The sequence below is a fragment of the Homo sapiens genome, chromosome 21, assembly GCF_000001405.40.
Source record: "Homo sapiens chromosome 21, GRCh38.p14 Primary Assembly".
NCBI lineage: Eukaryota > Metazoa > Chordata > Mammalia > Primates > Hominidae > Homo > Homo sapiens.
This window is the reverse complement of record NC_000021.9, coordinates 15,698,680-15,712,568: the sequence shown is the minus strand read 5'-3', so window position 1 is coordinate 15,712,568 and position 13,889 is coordinate 15,698,680. Positions and strand designations below refer to the sequence as shown.

Sequence of the window (13,889 nt, the reverse complement as noted above, 5' to 3'; positions counted from 1 at the left end):
GCTGGTCTCAAACTTCTGGGCTCAAGCAATCCTCCTACTTCAGTCTCCTAAAGTGCTGCAATTACAGGCATGAGCCACTCTGCTTGGCTAGAGTTATTCTTAATTAGGAACAATTCTGTTGTTCAACAGAGCAGAGATTTTTAGGAATGAAAATGTTAAAAAATTAAGATTCATCTCAGACTTTATGAAATAGTTGAAAATTGCACCTTTTTTTCTTTTTCTTTTTTTTAGAGACAAAGTCTTGCTCTGTTGCCCAAAGCTGGAATGCAATGGCATGATCATAGTTCACTACAACCTCCAATTCCTGAGTTCAAGTAATCCTCCCACATCAGCCTCCTGAATAGTTGAGACTACAGGTGCCCACCACCATGCGTGGCTAATTTTTTATTTTCGTACAGACAGGTTCTCACTATGTTGCCCAGGCTGATATCGAACTCCTGGCTTCACGTGATCCTCCCACCTTGTTCTCCCAAAGCACTGGTATTACAAGCATGAGCCACTGTGCCTGGCCAGAAATCACATCTTTATCCCTTATTATTGTAAGACACAATTGTCTCTAGTTATGACTAAACTATTAATGCCACATGCTTACCCAAGACACTTTAAAGATAGAATACAATAATTTTTTTTTAAAAAACCCATGACATACTAACTCTTCTCAAACAGAGTGTGCCTTAATACAGATTACACATCTACATGAGTTTTCTTTTATTACAGCTTTTTGCCATTTCAGTTTGAAAAGGACTATTCAAATGACTACCCTTTCAGAGATTCAAAGTATATTTACTTTCATCAGGCACAAGCTTAAGTTCTCGAGTAAGTGAATAGTACATTAAACAAAAGGGTAGGTATTAATAAAACAGTCCTTGCTGTGAAAAAACATAGTTTACTAAAGATAAAACACACATGAATACTATTGATACAAGTGAGATTAGTAGATGCAGGGTAACAAACACAGATGTGATCAATTTCAATGGAGATCAGTAAAATCTTTATAGCAGCAACAATAGAAGTTGTTACAAGTTATTCAAACTGTGTTAAGTGAGTGCTCCCAAGGCCAATGAAGAGAACAGCACAAGCAAGGGCACAGAAGCTTGAAGTATCATATGCCTCGAGGGAATCTTAAGAGTGCTGGTGGGATCACCAGGGAATGGTGGAAGTAAGGAAAGCGTAGTAGGAGCAAAGGCTAGGAAGGCTGGAAGAGGCCAGATGACCTGGAACCTTGCACCATGCAAAGAAGGTTGAGCTCATAAGACTTTATGTTGTCTATTATTTGTTTTCAATATTTTGAAAACTACTTTTAAAACGGGAACTCCCTTTTCTGAGAAACATCATGTGGAAATTCAATATTTAAAAATATATGTAAGTTCTGTTTGATTCTTTTCTGATGATTAGTGATGTTGAGCATCACTTTTTCATATACTCATTGACCACTTATGTGTCTTCTTTAGAGAAACGTCTATATTCAGATCTTCTGCCTATTTTGAAATTGAATTATGTGGAGTCCTTTTTTTTTGTTATTGAGTTGTTTGAGTTTCTTATATATTCTGGTTATTAATCCTTCATCAATTAAATTCTCACCAGAGTTAAAATGTTTTTTACCAGGGACATGCAAATGAAAACCACAATGAGATATCATTTTACCCCAGTTAGAATGACTATTATTACAAAGAAAAAAAAAACACAGATATTGGTGATGTGGACACAGGGGAATGCTTATACATTGTTTGTTGGAACATAAATTAGTGCAGTCACTATGGAAAACAGCATGGAGATTCCTCAAAAAAGTAAAATTGGAAGTACCATATGATCCAGCAATTCCACTGCTGAGCATATATCCAAAAGAAAGGAAATCAATATGTCAAACAGTTATCTACACTCCCATGTTTATTCCAGCACTATTCACATTAGCCAAGATATGGAATCAACCTCTGTGTCTGTCAACAAATGAATGGATAAAGAAAATGTGGTACATACACACAATGAAATATTATTCAGCCATAAAAAGAATGGAAATCCTGTCATTTGCAACAACATGGATGGAATTGGAGGGCATTATGCTAAGTGAAATAAGTCAGGCACAGAAAGACAAATATTGCAGCTTCTCACCCATATGTGGGGGCTAAAATAAATTGATCTTATGGAAGTAGAGAGTAGAATGACACTCAGAAAGGTAGTGGGAAGGGGAGATAAAGAGAGGCTTGTTAACAGGAACAAAAATATAGTTAGATAGTAGAAATAAGATCTAGTGTTCAGCAGCACAATGGGAAGACTGTGGTTAACAGTAATTCTTTGTATATTTAAAAATAACTAGAGGAGTAGATATGGAATATTCCCAGCACAAAGACAAGATCAATGACTGAGGTAGTGGATCTCCCAATTACTCCAATTTGATCATTACACATTATATGTGTGTATCAAAATATGACATGTATCTTATAAATATATGCAACTTAAAGACCTGTTTCAAATACTTATCACATAAATAAATACATGCACTCATCCAAAGAGCAGGCACTTTGCTTTTTGAATGTTGAGGATAGCATGTCCATTCAGCCCTTAGCCACCAGAATAAAAGCTTTTATTCTTAGTTCTATAGAAAATATGAAGAAGTGCTGGCACCAGAGGAGAATGTAGCAGGATGAAGAAACTTATTAACAATGCATATCCCTATCCCCGCCTAGAAGAGACCTGCTTTTGTTTTACAGGATCCTGAGAATGAGGTTGGGTGGGTGTGATGGATAGTGAAACCTGCTAGGAGATTTATTACTGTTTTGAACTCTACAGTTTATGCTTTGCTTACATTATTTAAGCTTAGCATTAAAGTTGATACTGGTAAGAGTATTGCAGTTTGTTAGATACTGCCTGAAAAAGGAAAGGAGGAAAGAAAGAAAACGGAAGAAAAGCTATTGAGATTGGGAAGAAAGTGTTTGGGAAAGAAAAACATTAAGAATTCTTATGTCTAATGAGGATTTTGCCTAAATTTCTGCTGTGTGGTGTGTGACATGGCATCTTCTCTTTCTCTCTGCAACATCTTCAGTGAACCTTCCATTTCTTATTACTACTTGATGGAGTTTCACATGTTTTATGGGAGACTTCACAAAGTGCTGGAAACAACTTCCATGTGAGTGAGGAGTCAATGTGGAAGCTTGTCCAGAAACCTCCTCAAGTGAGTCTCATAAGAATGAGCGGTTTACAGTTTATCCTGAAACCCACCTCTCTCCCACATTAACTTAGAAGATACGTATTACCTCAAGTCACTGTTAAGATTGTGATAGCTGATTGTGTTATCAGTTAGGGTTGTAATGGTATCTGATCCTCAACGTTCCCTACTACATAGACAAAGCTGGTTTCATCCCTCCTCTAGCCTGTCTGGCTACTGGTATTAGACTAATATCAAGTGTTTGAGCCAGGGATGGTGGTGTGTGCCTGTAGTCCCAGCTACTCAGGAGGCTGTGGCAAAAGGATCACTTGAGTCTAGGGGTCAAAGGCTGCAGGGACTTGTGATCACATCTGTGAATAGACACTCCATTCCAGCCTGGGTAACACAGTGACTCTCTCTCTCCCCCCTCCCCCGTGTGTGTGTGTGTGTGTGTGTGTGTGTGTGTGTGTGTGTGTGTGTGTGTGTGTGTTTGGACAACCATCACTGACCAGACATCATTTTGAACATCGGTACACTACTTCCTCTTCAGGACCTATAAAATTGACCTACATCAAGAATAATATCTCTTAGAGATATAGGTATATATTTGTTTTAACCAGAAAAGTTCCAGATACTTAATGTATAATGGATTAATGACTTCCCAGCAGAGTCATGTGCTGATCTGATGTCATAAGAAGGTTTGAGGCTGGCACATTTCACATATTTGTGTCAACACCCAATCATCATGCTCATGATCTACAAAAGGATCGGGGTGAGGTTTATTTGTTTTGTTTTGTTTTGTTTTTTGAGACAGAGTCTCGCTCTGTCACCCAGGCTGGAGTGCAGTGGTGCGATCTCGGCTCACTGCAACTTCTGCCTCCTGGATTCAAGCAATACTACTGCCTCAGCCTCCCGAGTAGTTGGGATTACAGGTGCCCACCACCACGCCTGGCTAATTTTTGTATTTTTAGTGGAGATGGAGTTTCGCCATGTTGGTCAGGCTGATCTCGAACGCCTGACCTCAGGTGATCCGCCCGCTTCAGCCTCCGAAAGTGCTGGGATTACAGGCGTGAGCTACCGCGCCTGGCAGGGGCAAGGTTTTAAGGCTTGTTACTTTTGTGTTTGACAGGTACATAAAAAGGAGAGCCAACTCACATGTCTGAGGAAGAAAGAACAAGTCAACTACTGTTATATTGGGTTGACATGTGGTTAAGAACCCAGACTTGAAGGCAAAGCTTTTCAAGCATGAAGTAATGCACACATCACCTGGAAATCTTGTAAAAATTTACATAATGATTAAGTCTAGGGTAGAAGCACAGGGCCTGTATTTCTAATATCACCAGTGTTACCATTCTGCTGGCCCATGAATTCTACTTTGAGTAGCAAAATTCTAGAGTCTGATTATCTGGGTTCACGTCCCGGTTCTGGACTTCACCGAGCTGGGGACCTTGAGTAACTTAACCTTGAGTAATATGCCTCAGTTTCTTCATCTGTAAAATTGAAATAATATCCATGGGTTTTTATAGGAATTAGTAGAATTAATATAGAGTAGCACTGAGAAGAGTGTCTGGCACATGGTGCATACTTGATAAATATTTGCTGAGTGAATTTCCTAGCAGCAAAACGAGTGGGGAAAAAAGGGCCTGTGCTTTTGAATTCAACGCTTTTGTGTCTCATCAAATAATTCACTTGTCTTTCAGCTTCTGACTTGGCGCCATTGGTTGTCTTTGAGTTAACTCTGTAGAGTCCTAATTAGGATTTAAAAGAACAAGACGGAAAGCTTCTGCAGAAGGTAATGAGGTGTCCTAATTTCCCCTCCACCTAAGAGCAGGGAATGATCAAATTTATATTTAAGAAAATCACTCATAGTAGAAGAGAGACAGAGAGAAGGAATTGGACAAGACTAGGGGTGAAAAGATAAGTTTACAGAATATTGTAATAGGCCAGAGAACATAGTTAAAACCACCTGAGATTAAGACAGTGGAGACAGTTGAAAAGTGGAAAACAATACAAGCACAATTAAAGAGGTTGATTTGGCAAGACATGGCATTAAATAGTGGGCACAGCTCATGTTCAGGGAGAAGTGTGAGGATGTTTTCCAGTTTTCTAGCTTTGGTAAGATGATAAAACTTGGAGAACATTTGCAGAGATAGAGAATAAAGGAGCAGGAATAAGTAAGAATAAAAGGGATGAATAAAATGAGAAGGGAATAAGATGGTAATAAGACTAATTTTGGACATGTTAAAAGTGGCTGTGGGATAAATACCCATAGGCAATTAGAAATGAAATATGGAGCTGAGGAGACTTTACATGTTGGCCATAAGAATTTGGAAGTCATCAGCATTTGTGTATTAAGGCCCTGGAAGTGAATGAGTCAGTCCAGGAGAGTATTAGCTGTAAGAAAAATTGGATACAAATTGAAGACCATAAGGAAGACTTAGAACAATGAAAGAGGTAGGAACAAAGCCAAAAGAAAGGGATGGCAGAAGGCTAGGGAGGAGAGTGCTTCAGCAATGAGGGAATGGTCAGCAGGGCCAAATTCCACAACACATCTATACTCCTGGAAACCAGTTCTTCCACTGTGACTCACTGAATCTGTCAACACCACATCGTTATTTTAATCCTTCGGGGACAAAGCCTAGTATCTTGGTTTGACTCATTCTGCTTCCTCATTCTCTATATTTAAGACGCTGAAATTTCTTTTCCATTTTTTGATATCCATCCTTTTCTAAGCCCAATTTTACATGCTGGTCCAAATACTCCTAGATGACACAAAAACTTTCTGTACTGTATGTTTTAGCTAGACCCAACTTCCTGAAACACCTTTTTCATTATGCCATATTTATTCTCTTCAAAACTTTTCTCTCTCTCTCTCTCTCTCTCTCTCTCTCTCTCTCTATATATATATATATATATACACACACATATATATATATATGTGCATATATGTGTATATATGTGTGTGTGTATATATATATATTTTTTTTTCCAGGTGGAGTCTTGCTCTGTCACCCAGGTTGGAGTACAGTGGTGCAATCTCGGCTCACTGCAACCTTCACCTCCCAGGTTCAAGTGATTCCTGTGCCTCAGCCTCCAGAGTAGCTGGGATTACAGGCATGCGCCACCACGCCCAGATAATTTTTGCATTTTTAGTAAAGACAGGGTTTCACCATGTTGGCCAGGCTGGTCTCGAACTCCTGACCTCAAGTGATCCACCTGCCTCAGCTTCGCAACGTGTTGGGATCATAGGTGTGAGCCACCACATCCAGCCAAATATGTATATATTTTATAATTTCAACTTTTATTTTAGATTCAAGTGATACATGTCCAGGTTTGTTACATAGGTATATTGTGTGATGCTGAGGTTTGGGGTATGAATGATCCTATCACCCACATAGTAAGAATAGTACCCAATAGGTAGTTTTTCAGCCCTTTCTCCCCATCACTCCCTCTTCTAGTAATCGCCAGTGCCTATTATTCACATCTTTATGTCCATGTATACGCAGTGTTTAGCTCCTACTTATTATAAGTCAGAACATGTGGTATTTAGTTTTCCATTACTGTGTTAATTTGTTTAGGATAATGGCCTCCAACTGCATTCATGTTGCTGCAAAGGACAAGATTTCACTCTTTTTTAATGGCTGCATAGTATTCTATAGTTTATATGTGCCACATTTTCTTTATCTAGTCTGTCATTGATGGGCACCTAGGTTGATTCCATGTCTTTTCTATTAAACTTCACAATATATTTTTTAACTTGGAGTATTTGTTTTGTTTTGGAACATAAGCATCTATGTATTATCTAAGTAATATCTATGCATCTGAGTATAAGAAATGCTTAAGAATAATAAACACCAAATGTAGGATAATGATTATCTCTGCTAAGGGAGAAATTAATTATGATTATGGAACAAAACATAGGAGATTTCAACTGCATTAATAGTGTTTTATTCCTAAGCTGGGTGTATTAGTCTGTACTCATGCTGCTGATAAAGACATACCTGAGACTGGGCAATTTGAAAAAAGAAAGAAGTTTATTGGAGTAACAGTTCTACGTGGCTGGGGAGGCCTCACAATCATGGTGGAAGGTGAAAGACACGTCTCACATGGCGGCAGACAAAAGAAGAGAGCTTGTACAGGGAAACTCCCCCTTTTTAAAAACATCAGATCTTGTGAGACTTATTTACTACCAAGAGAACAGCACAGGAAAGACCCGCCCCCATTATTGAATCACCTCCCACTGGGTCCCTCCCACAACACCTGGGAATTCAAGATGAGATGTGGGGACACAGCCTAACCATATCACTGGGTAACAGGACCATAGGTTTAAGTTTCTGTACATTTAAATAATATGAAAAACTACAGTGTTTTAGAAACACTTTAAAATGACAGCACCCTAAAATGTAAGTTTGATGTCCTCTTAATTGGGGACCCTGCTCCCTGTCTCATCTTATTTTCTACAATTCCTTATTGTATTCTCTTCTGGGTTTTTCTTTTCAATGTTGTTCAAAAAGGTCTTTGTGAAGTGTATTGGTTTCCCTTCCTTCCATCACAGTTTCCCTCTGCCAGGAATGTGCCTCCACTCAGTCAGGGCCTCCTGTCCAAAACCTTTGCAGTCCTTTACGCTCATGAGCCTTTGTTGCGAACTTTTATTGGATATGATCTCTCAATCCTGTGAAATCTTGTGTGAGAGAGAGAGAGAGAAAGAGGGTGAGAGAGAGGGAGGGAGTGTGTGTGTGTGTGTGTGTGTTTGTTTGAGACATTCTTATGTATCTCTTTTAAAGCTATTTATGTGAGATTTTTATTATTATAGAAAGTAGTTCAGGAGTTCTAACCCCGTTTGCACATTACAGTTATTGGGAGAGTGCTTTAAAAATATTAATGCCTAGGCCCCAACTCAAACAGGTCCCACCTCAAATAGGCTTGAATGATAGAATTTTTAAAAAGCTTCCAAGGTGAGGCTAATACCACAGGTATAGTCTGATTATGTCTTAAAGGCCTGGGCCACCTCTTCTTAGCCCTCTCTATAACAACACAGAATCACACATATAAATGAGAGTTATGGGCATGGGGAATATATGAATATGAGCTTAAATGCCAATTATAGTCTGTGAAAGTAGGAAAAGCTAATAATCTTATGAAACTGCTATAATATTCCTCTGCTATTATAATATACAAAACAGTCCATTTAGCAGTAACTTGACCTTCAATAGTTCAGTGTCATGAGTATTTGGAAGCAAGTAACCTAAATACTCAAACATGAACAGCTGGACTGAAATCGACACTGACTGAAGTAAAGCTAAATACTGAGTTCAAGGAAGCAAGGCCATAAATAAGAGCTCTTAGTTATAGTGTTTGACAGCTCATCCTTAGTCCCAGAAAGTATCAAGGCAGCAGTAGCTAGCTGAGTGTAAAGGGTACAGTGTGAAAAATATATGGCATTTAGTTAAAAAATGATCATACAGAGATGTTAAAAAGTTGGCCGAGATATTACACAAATAGTGAGGAAAATGTAGACTCTCTTTTTAATTTTTTGAATTAAATTATAACTGTATATAACTGGTATGTTACATTGCTCAGTAATGGCCAAATGGTATTTGAATGGGTAAAGTTGTTTTATCTATGATAGTCATGTTAAAATCACACGCTTGCAATAATCTTGAAAGTGAGAATTAGATGATTACTGACATAATTGGAATCCCATCAGGAAAGAGGGCGTGTGTTTAAACCAGTTCTTAAATAAATGGATACAGTAGACAACTTTTAATGTCTCTTCCAATTTTTAGATACTTTAGTTATTTCTACTGACTTGTCTTCAAGCTCACTGATTCTTTCCATGGCCATGTCGAGTCTGCTGATGAGTGCATACCTCATTATTCATCATATCTGTTACAGTGTTTTGGATTTCTTGCATTTCCTCTTGATTCTTTCTTAGATTTTCTATCTCTCTGCTTGCATTAGTCATCTATTTTTGCACATTGTCTACTTTTTCCATTAGGACCTCTTAACATATTAATAATAATTATTTAAGATTCCCTATCTGATAATTCAAAAATGTGTGTCATATCTGGGTCTAGTTCTAATGCTTGCTTTACCTCTTCAAACTATGTGTTTTCTTGCTTTATCATCAGACCTTGTAATTTTGTATTGATAGGTGCAAATGACACATATGAGTAATAGGAATTGAGAAAAAACAGACCTTTAGCATGGAAATTTACATTAACCATAAATGTGAAAAGGCTTAAGTCTTCTACTGCCCTTGTTTTTGTTTTCCCTCTCAGACTCCCCTAAGTATGCCTCCTCAAAGAGAGTCTGCTCCTTGTGGCTCTTTCAGGTGTAGCCCACTATAATACTTTAGCTTTGTTGGTGTGTGTCTTAGTCTGTTTTGTGTTGCTTATAATAGAATACTTGAAACTGGGTTATTTATAAAGAAAATGAATTTATTTCTTATCATTATGCAGGCTGAGAAGTCTGAGGTCAAGGAGCTGTATCTGATGAAAACCTTCTTTCTGGTGGGGACTCTCTGCAGAATCCCAAGATGGCACAGGCCATCTCATGGCAAGGGGACTGACCAAGTGTGCTCCTTCAGATCTCTCTTTCTCTGTTTATAAAGCCACCAATCCCACTCCCATGATAACCCATTAATCCATTCATTCATTAATGAATTCATCCACTCATGAGGACAGAGCCCTCATGACCCAATCACATCTCGAAGGCCTCACATCTCAATACTGCCACACTGGGGATTAAATTTCATCAAGAGTTTTGGAGGAGACAAATATTTAAACAACAGCAGTGTGGTATGGTATGGCAGAGTGGGGAGCATTCTCTAATCTTTTGATTAAATTTCAGTGTATCAGTGGTCCTTTGTCCTTGGACTATGACCTTCACAGGTGTTTCTCCAGCAGTATAGCTTCTGCCACTCAGGCCTTCTCCTCCCTCTCCTGGCTGCAACCTGCTTCCTTGAAGCTCCTACTTCTGTTGACTGTGTCTCCCCCTCATACTCCCTCACCTTACCCACTCTTTAGTAAAACAGCAATCCTGGAGCGGGTGGAGTAGGAAGAATTCCCTCCCACCAGCTGGAATAAGGTTCTGGTGAAGTTGTTTTTCCAGGAGAATAGGCTTATTTTATAATGATGACTCTTCCTCTACCCCTGCCACAGCCACAGGAATCTTTGTTGGATCTTCATCGTGAGAACATGGTGGAGGTACTAGAAGCAAAACCTATGAAATGTCCCTCAAGTCTCCAGCCCCTGGGAGTTTCTCACAGTAACCTTAGCCCATATTCTGCCTGAAACCATTTACCAACATTATCATTTCAGTGTTCCTTCCAGTTAAAACTCCCCTTGCTTTTGTTTCAGATAAGCAGGTCTCAGCCGTGTCTCCCATCTCTTCAGATTTCTGGCAACTTGCCCTGTGACCTCAGGTCTCTGATGGGTTCAAGAAAAGTTAATGTTCTATCTGACCACTTTTTCCCTGTGAGGATAACAGTAATAAATTCTAAGCTCTTTAATATCAGAGCAGAAACCAGAATTCTATCTAAATTACTTCTACTCATATATTTCTAAGCTTGTAGGCAAATGTAATAGTTAAATTCAAGATTTCAAAGTAATTTATTACAGTTGCATATCCTATCACTTAGCTATATTTTAAAACTTCAATTTTTTTTTAGAAAAGTTGTTAGTGATAAATATTAGTGGAAGTTTAATGTTTAAATTTTGGGCAATTTTTTATTGTTGACAGTTAACAGTTAAAATTGATTTTTGTTATTTAATTTATAGAGCAATTGCTTGTCAATTCATAAATATAGCAATCCCAATCTCTGTCATTTTGTAAAACCTTCCTTAGTCGTTACATTATTTGTATTCCCATTAATCAAGAGTAATGTTGGCTTTTATTTTATTCTATCAGTTTACTTTGGGCATTAGTATATTTCTTGAAATAACTCATGACATCTGAAAACTCTGATCAAGTTCAGCATTCTGAACATTTATTTTGGTTAACTGACCTAAAATATTTTGAAAATAACATTTAGTGTCACAATCCTAGGATTATTTTGATTATTGAAGCTGCTTTGGTTTAAAGGGAAAGTGTTACTACAAATAAAGATAATTCAATTTTCTTTTCTTTTTTGTTAGTACAAAGTGTCATGGATAGATGTAGTAACAAACCATCGACATTGTCCAAGTTTCAGTGATCCTTACTTTGGCATAGTATAATGAAGGTTTTCCTTATTTGAGCTGCTCTATAATAATTTGATATCTTGTCTCATTTTCCAGGCCAATTTTGGGTCAGAGATGAGACCCTTCATCTAAGGCTATGGTCTCAATCAGCAAACACTGGGAAGAAAGATGCTTCTGTATGACTCAATAATCTTGATGGTTTCCTGAATTGTTCTATAAATTTAGGCTCAAATAGAAATACATTGAAATGGAGTTGTATTCTTGGCTGGGTCAAACCGTGAAATTCTGTTGGACAATGAAATAGGCAAATTATTTATTTTAGTGCTTTTGAATGCAGTTAATGAAGGATGGAAACTAATTAGTATTTCTTGGTTTTTCTAATGAAATGAAACTCTACTGAAAGGCTCAAACTATTTTATCCATCTGAGAATCCCCTGGATAGGTATCTGACTTGCCTAAGAGAAGAGTTTGTCAGCTTTCCCTGAGACGGGTAAATCCTCCACTGTCTCACAACTATTTCGCACATTCTCCTCTCTACAAAAGTCTCCAAAACCACCTCCCTGCTCCTTATTCTTAACTGATGGCCTTGGTTCTTATTTCATGGAAAAATAAATAAAAATCTGCCAACTTGTACCTGTACTCACATACCCTATATTCTTTCCTGTAGTTAAAACTGATAGACTGTCCTTGGTCCTAAGGCTAAATACTCCTCTTGTGCACTGCTTCTCATCACTTCTCACCTGCTCAAGGGCTTCACTCCTGCAGTTGTGTCTTCTTTCTTCCATATAAAAAAAATTACAGCAAACTCACCTTGATTCCACATATCCTTCAGCACCATTTTCCATTTCTTTGCTACCCTTTACAGCTAAACTTCTGAAAAATCACTGTCTCTACTAATTGTCTGCAATTTCTCTTTTCCCATAGTCTCCCAAACCTACTCTGATCTGCCTCCTGTCTCTTTCTCTCTGCAGGAACTGATTGTTCAAGATCGCCAATGACCTGCATGACGCCAAATGCAATAGCCAAATCTCAGTCCTATATTGTCTAACCTATGAACAGTTTTTGAACCTCTAAACATGTTTTGACACAAATGATCATCCCTTCCTTCTTGAAACACATTCTTTGCTCCAAGCCAGGATCTTCCTCACTCTTGATTCTCTTTCTATCTCATTGGCTGCTCCTTATCAATCTCTTTTGCAACCTCTGGTTCTTCCTTATCTGCATAATTTCTAAACTGGTTTGCCTCAGAGGCTTATTTTTCTCTTTATTCACTTACTAGGTAATTTTATTTAGCCCCATGGCTTTCATGCTATCTCTATAAAAATTCTAAAATTAGTATCTGCCTATGCAGCAACTCCACATGGACATCTGATATGGTCTGGCTCTGTGTCCCCACCCAAATCTCATCTTGAATTGTAATCCGAATTATAATTCCCACGTGTTGGGGGAGGGACCTGGTGGGAGGTGATTAGATCATGGGGGTGGTCCCCCATGCTGTTCTCGTGATAGTGAGTAAGTTCTCATGAGATCTGATGGTTTTATAAGGGGCTTTCCCCAACTTTGCTCTGCCCTTCTCTTTCCTGCCACCATGTGAAGGATGTATTTGCTTCCCCTTCTGTCATGATTGTAAGTTTCCCGAGGCCTCACCAGGTATGCTGAACTGTGAATCAATTAAACTTCTTTCCTTTAGAAATTACCCAGTCTCAGGTATGTCTTTATTAGCGGCATGAGAATGGACTAATACATCCATGATCACCTCAAACGTATATAAATTTTCCAGAACTGAACTTTTGATTAAACCTATTCCTCCCTAAGCCTCTCCATGAGCACATTTGGATGTTACTATGGCCAGGTACTAGATCATAAATGCTGAAAAGCAAAAGGGGATTAAAAAATAATAGTTAAAAATATTTTTTTTTTAAATATAGCATCATATAATTTTCTCAGTGTGAACTGTGTCTCTTTAATTTAACATTTATTTTATTTTAGGGTGCTGAGAATTCATGCTAGTGGAAAATATAATGATTCTATTTAGTCATTTAAAAGATAATTTGGGCAGGGTGTGGCAGTGGATCTAGGAGAGAAAAGCTTTCTTTTTTTTTAAATTATACTTTAAGTTCTGGGATACATGTGCAGAACGTGCAGGTTTGTTACATAGGTATACACGTGCCATGGTGGTTTGCCCCACCCATCAACCTATCATTCACATTAGGTATTTCTCCTAATGCTAACCCTCCCCTAGCCCCCCATCCCATGACAGGCCCCAGTGTGTGATGTTCCCCTCCCTGTGTCCATGTGTTCTCATTGTTCAACTCCTGCTTTTGAGTGAAAACATGCAGTGTTTGGTTTTCTGTTCCTGTGTTAGTTTGCTGAGAATGATGGTTTCCAGCTACATCCATGTCCCCACAAAGACAGGAACTCATTCTTTTTTATGGCTGTATAGTACTCCATGGTGTATATGTGCCACATTTTCTTTATCCAGTCTATCATTGATGGGCATTTGGATTGGTTCCAAGTCTTTGCTATTGTGAACAGTGCTGCAATAAACATACATGTGCATGTGT

General features: G+C 38.3%; 1 non-coding gene across 1 annotated transcript; it reads right to left on the bottom strand.

Annotated features, from left to right (window-relative positions):
• Positions 1–3,801: 3,801 nt before the first annotated feature.
• On the bottom strand, positions 3,802–3,910 carry LOC124905073 (small nucleolar RNA U13). Its single transcript, XR_007067952.1, has one exon. It is a non-coding gene; the product is annotated as a small nucleolar RNA U13 (small nucleolar RNA).
• Between the last annotated feature and the right edge of the window lie 9,979 nt (positions 3,911–13,889).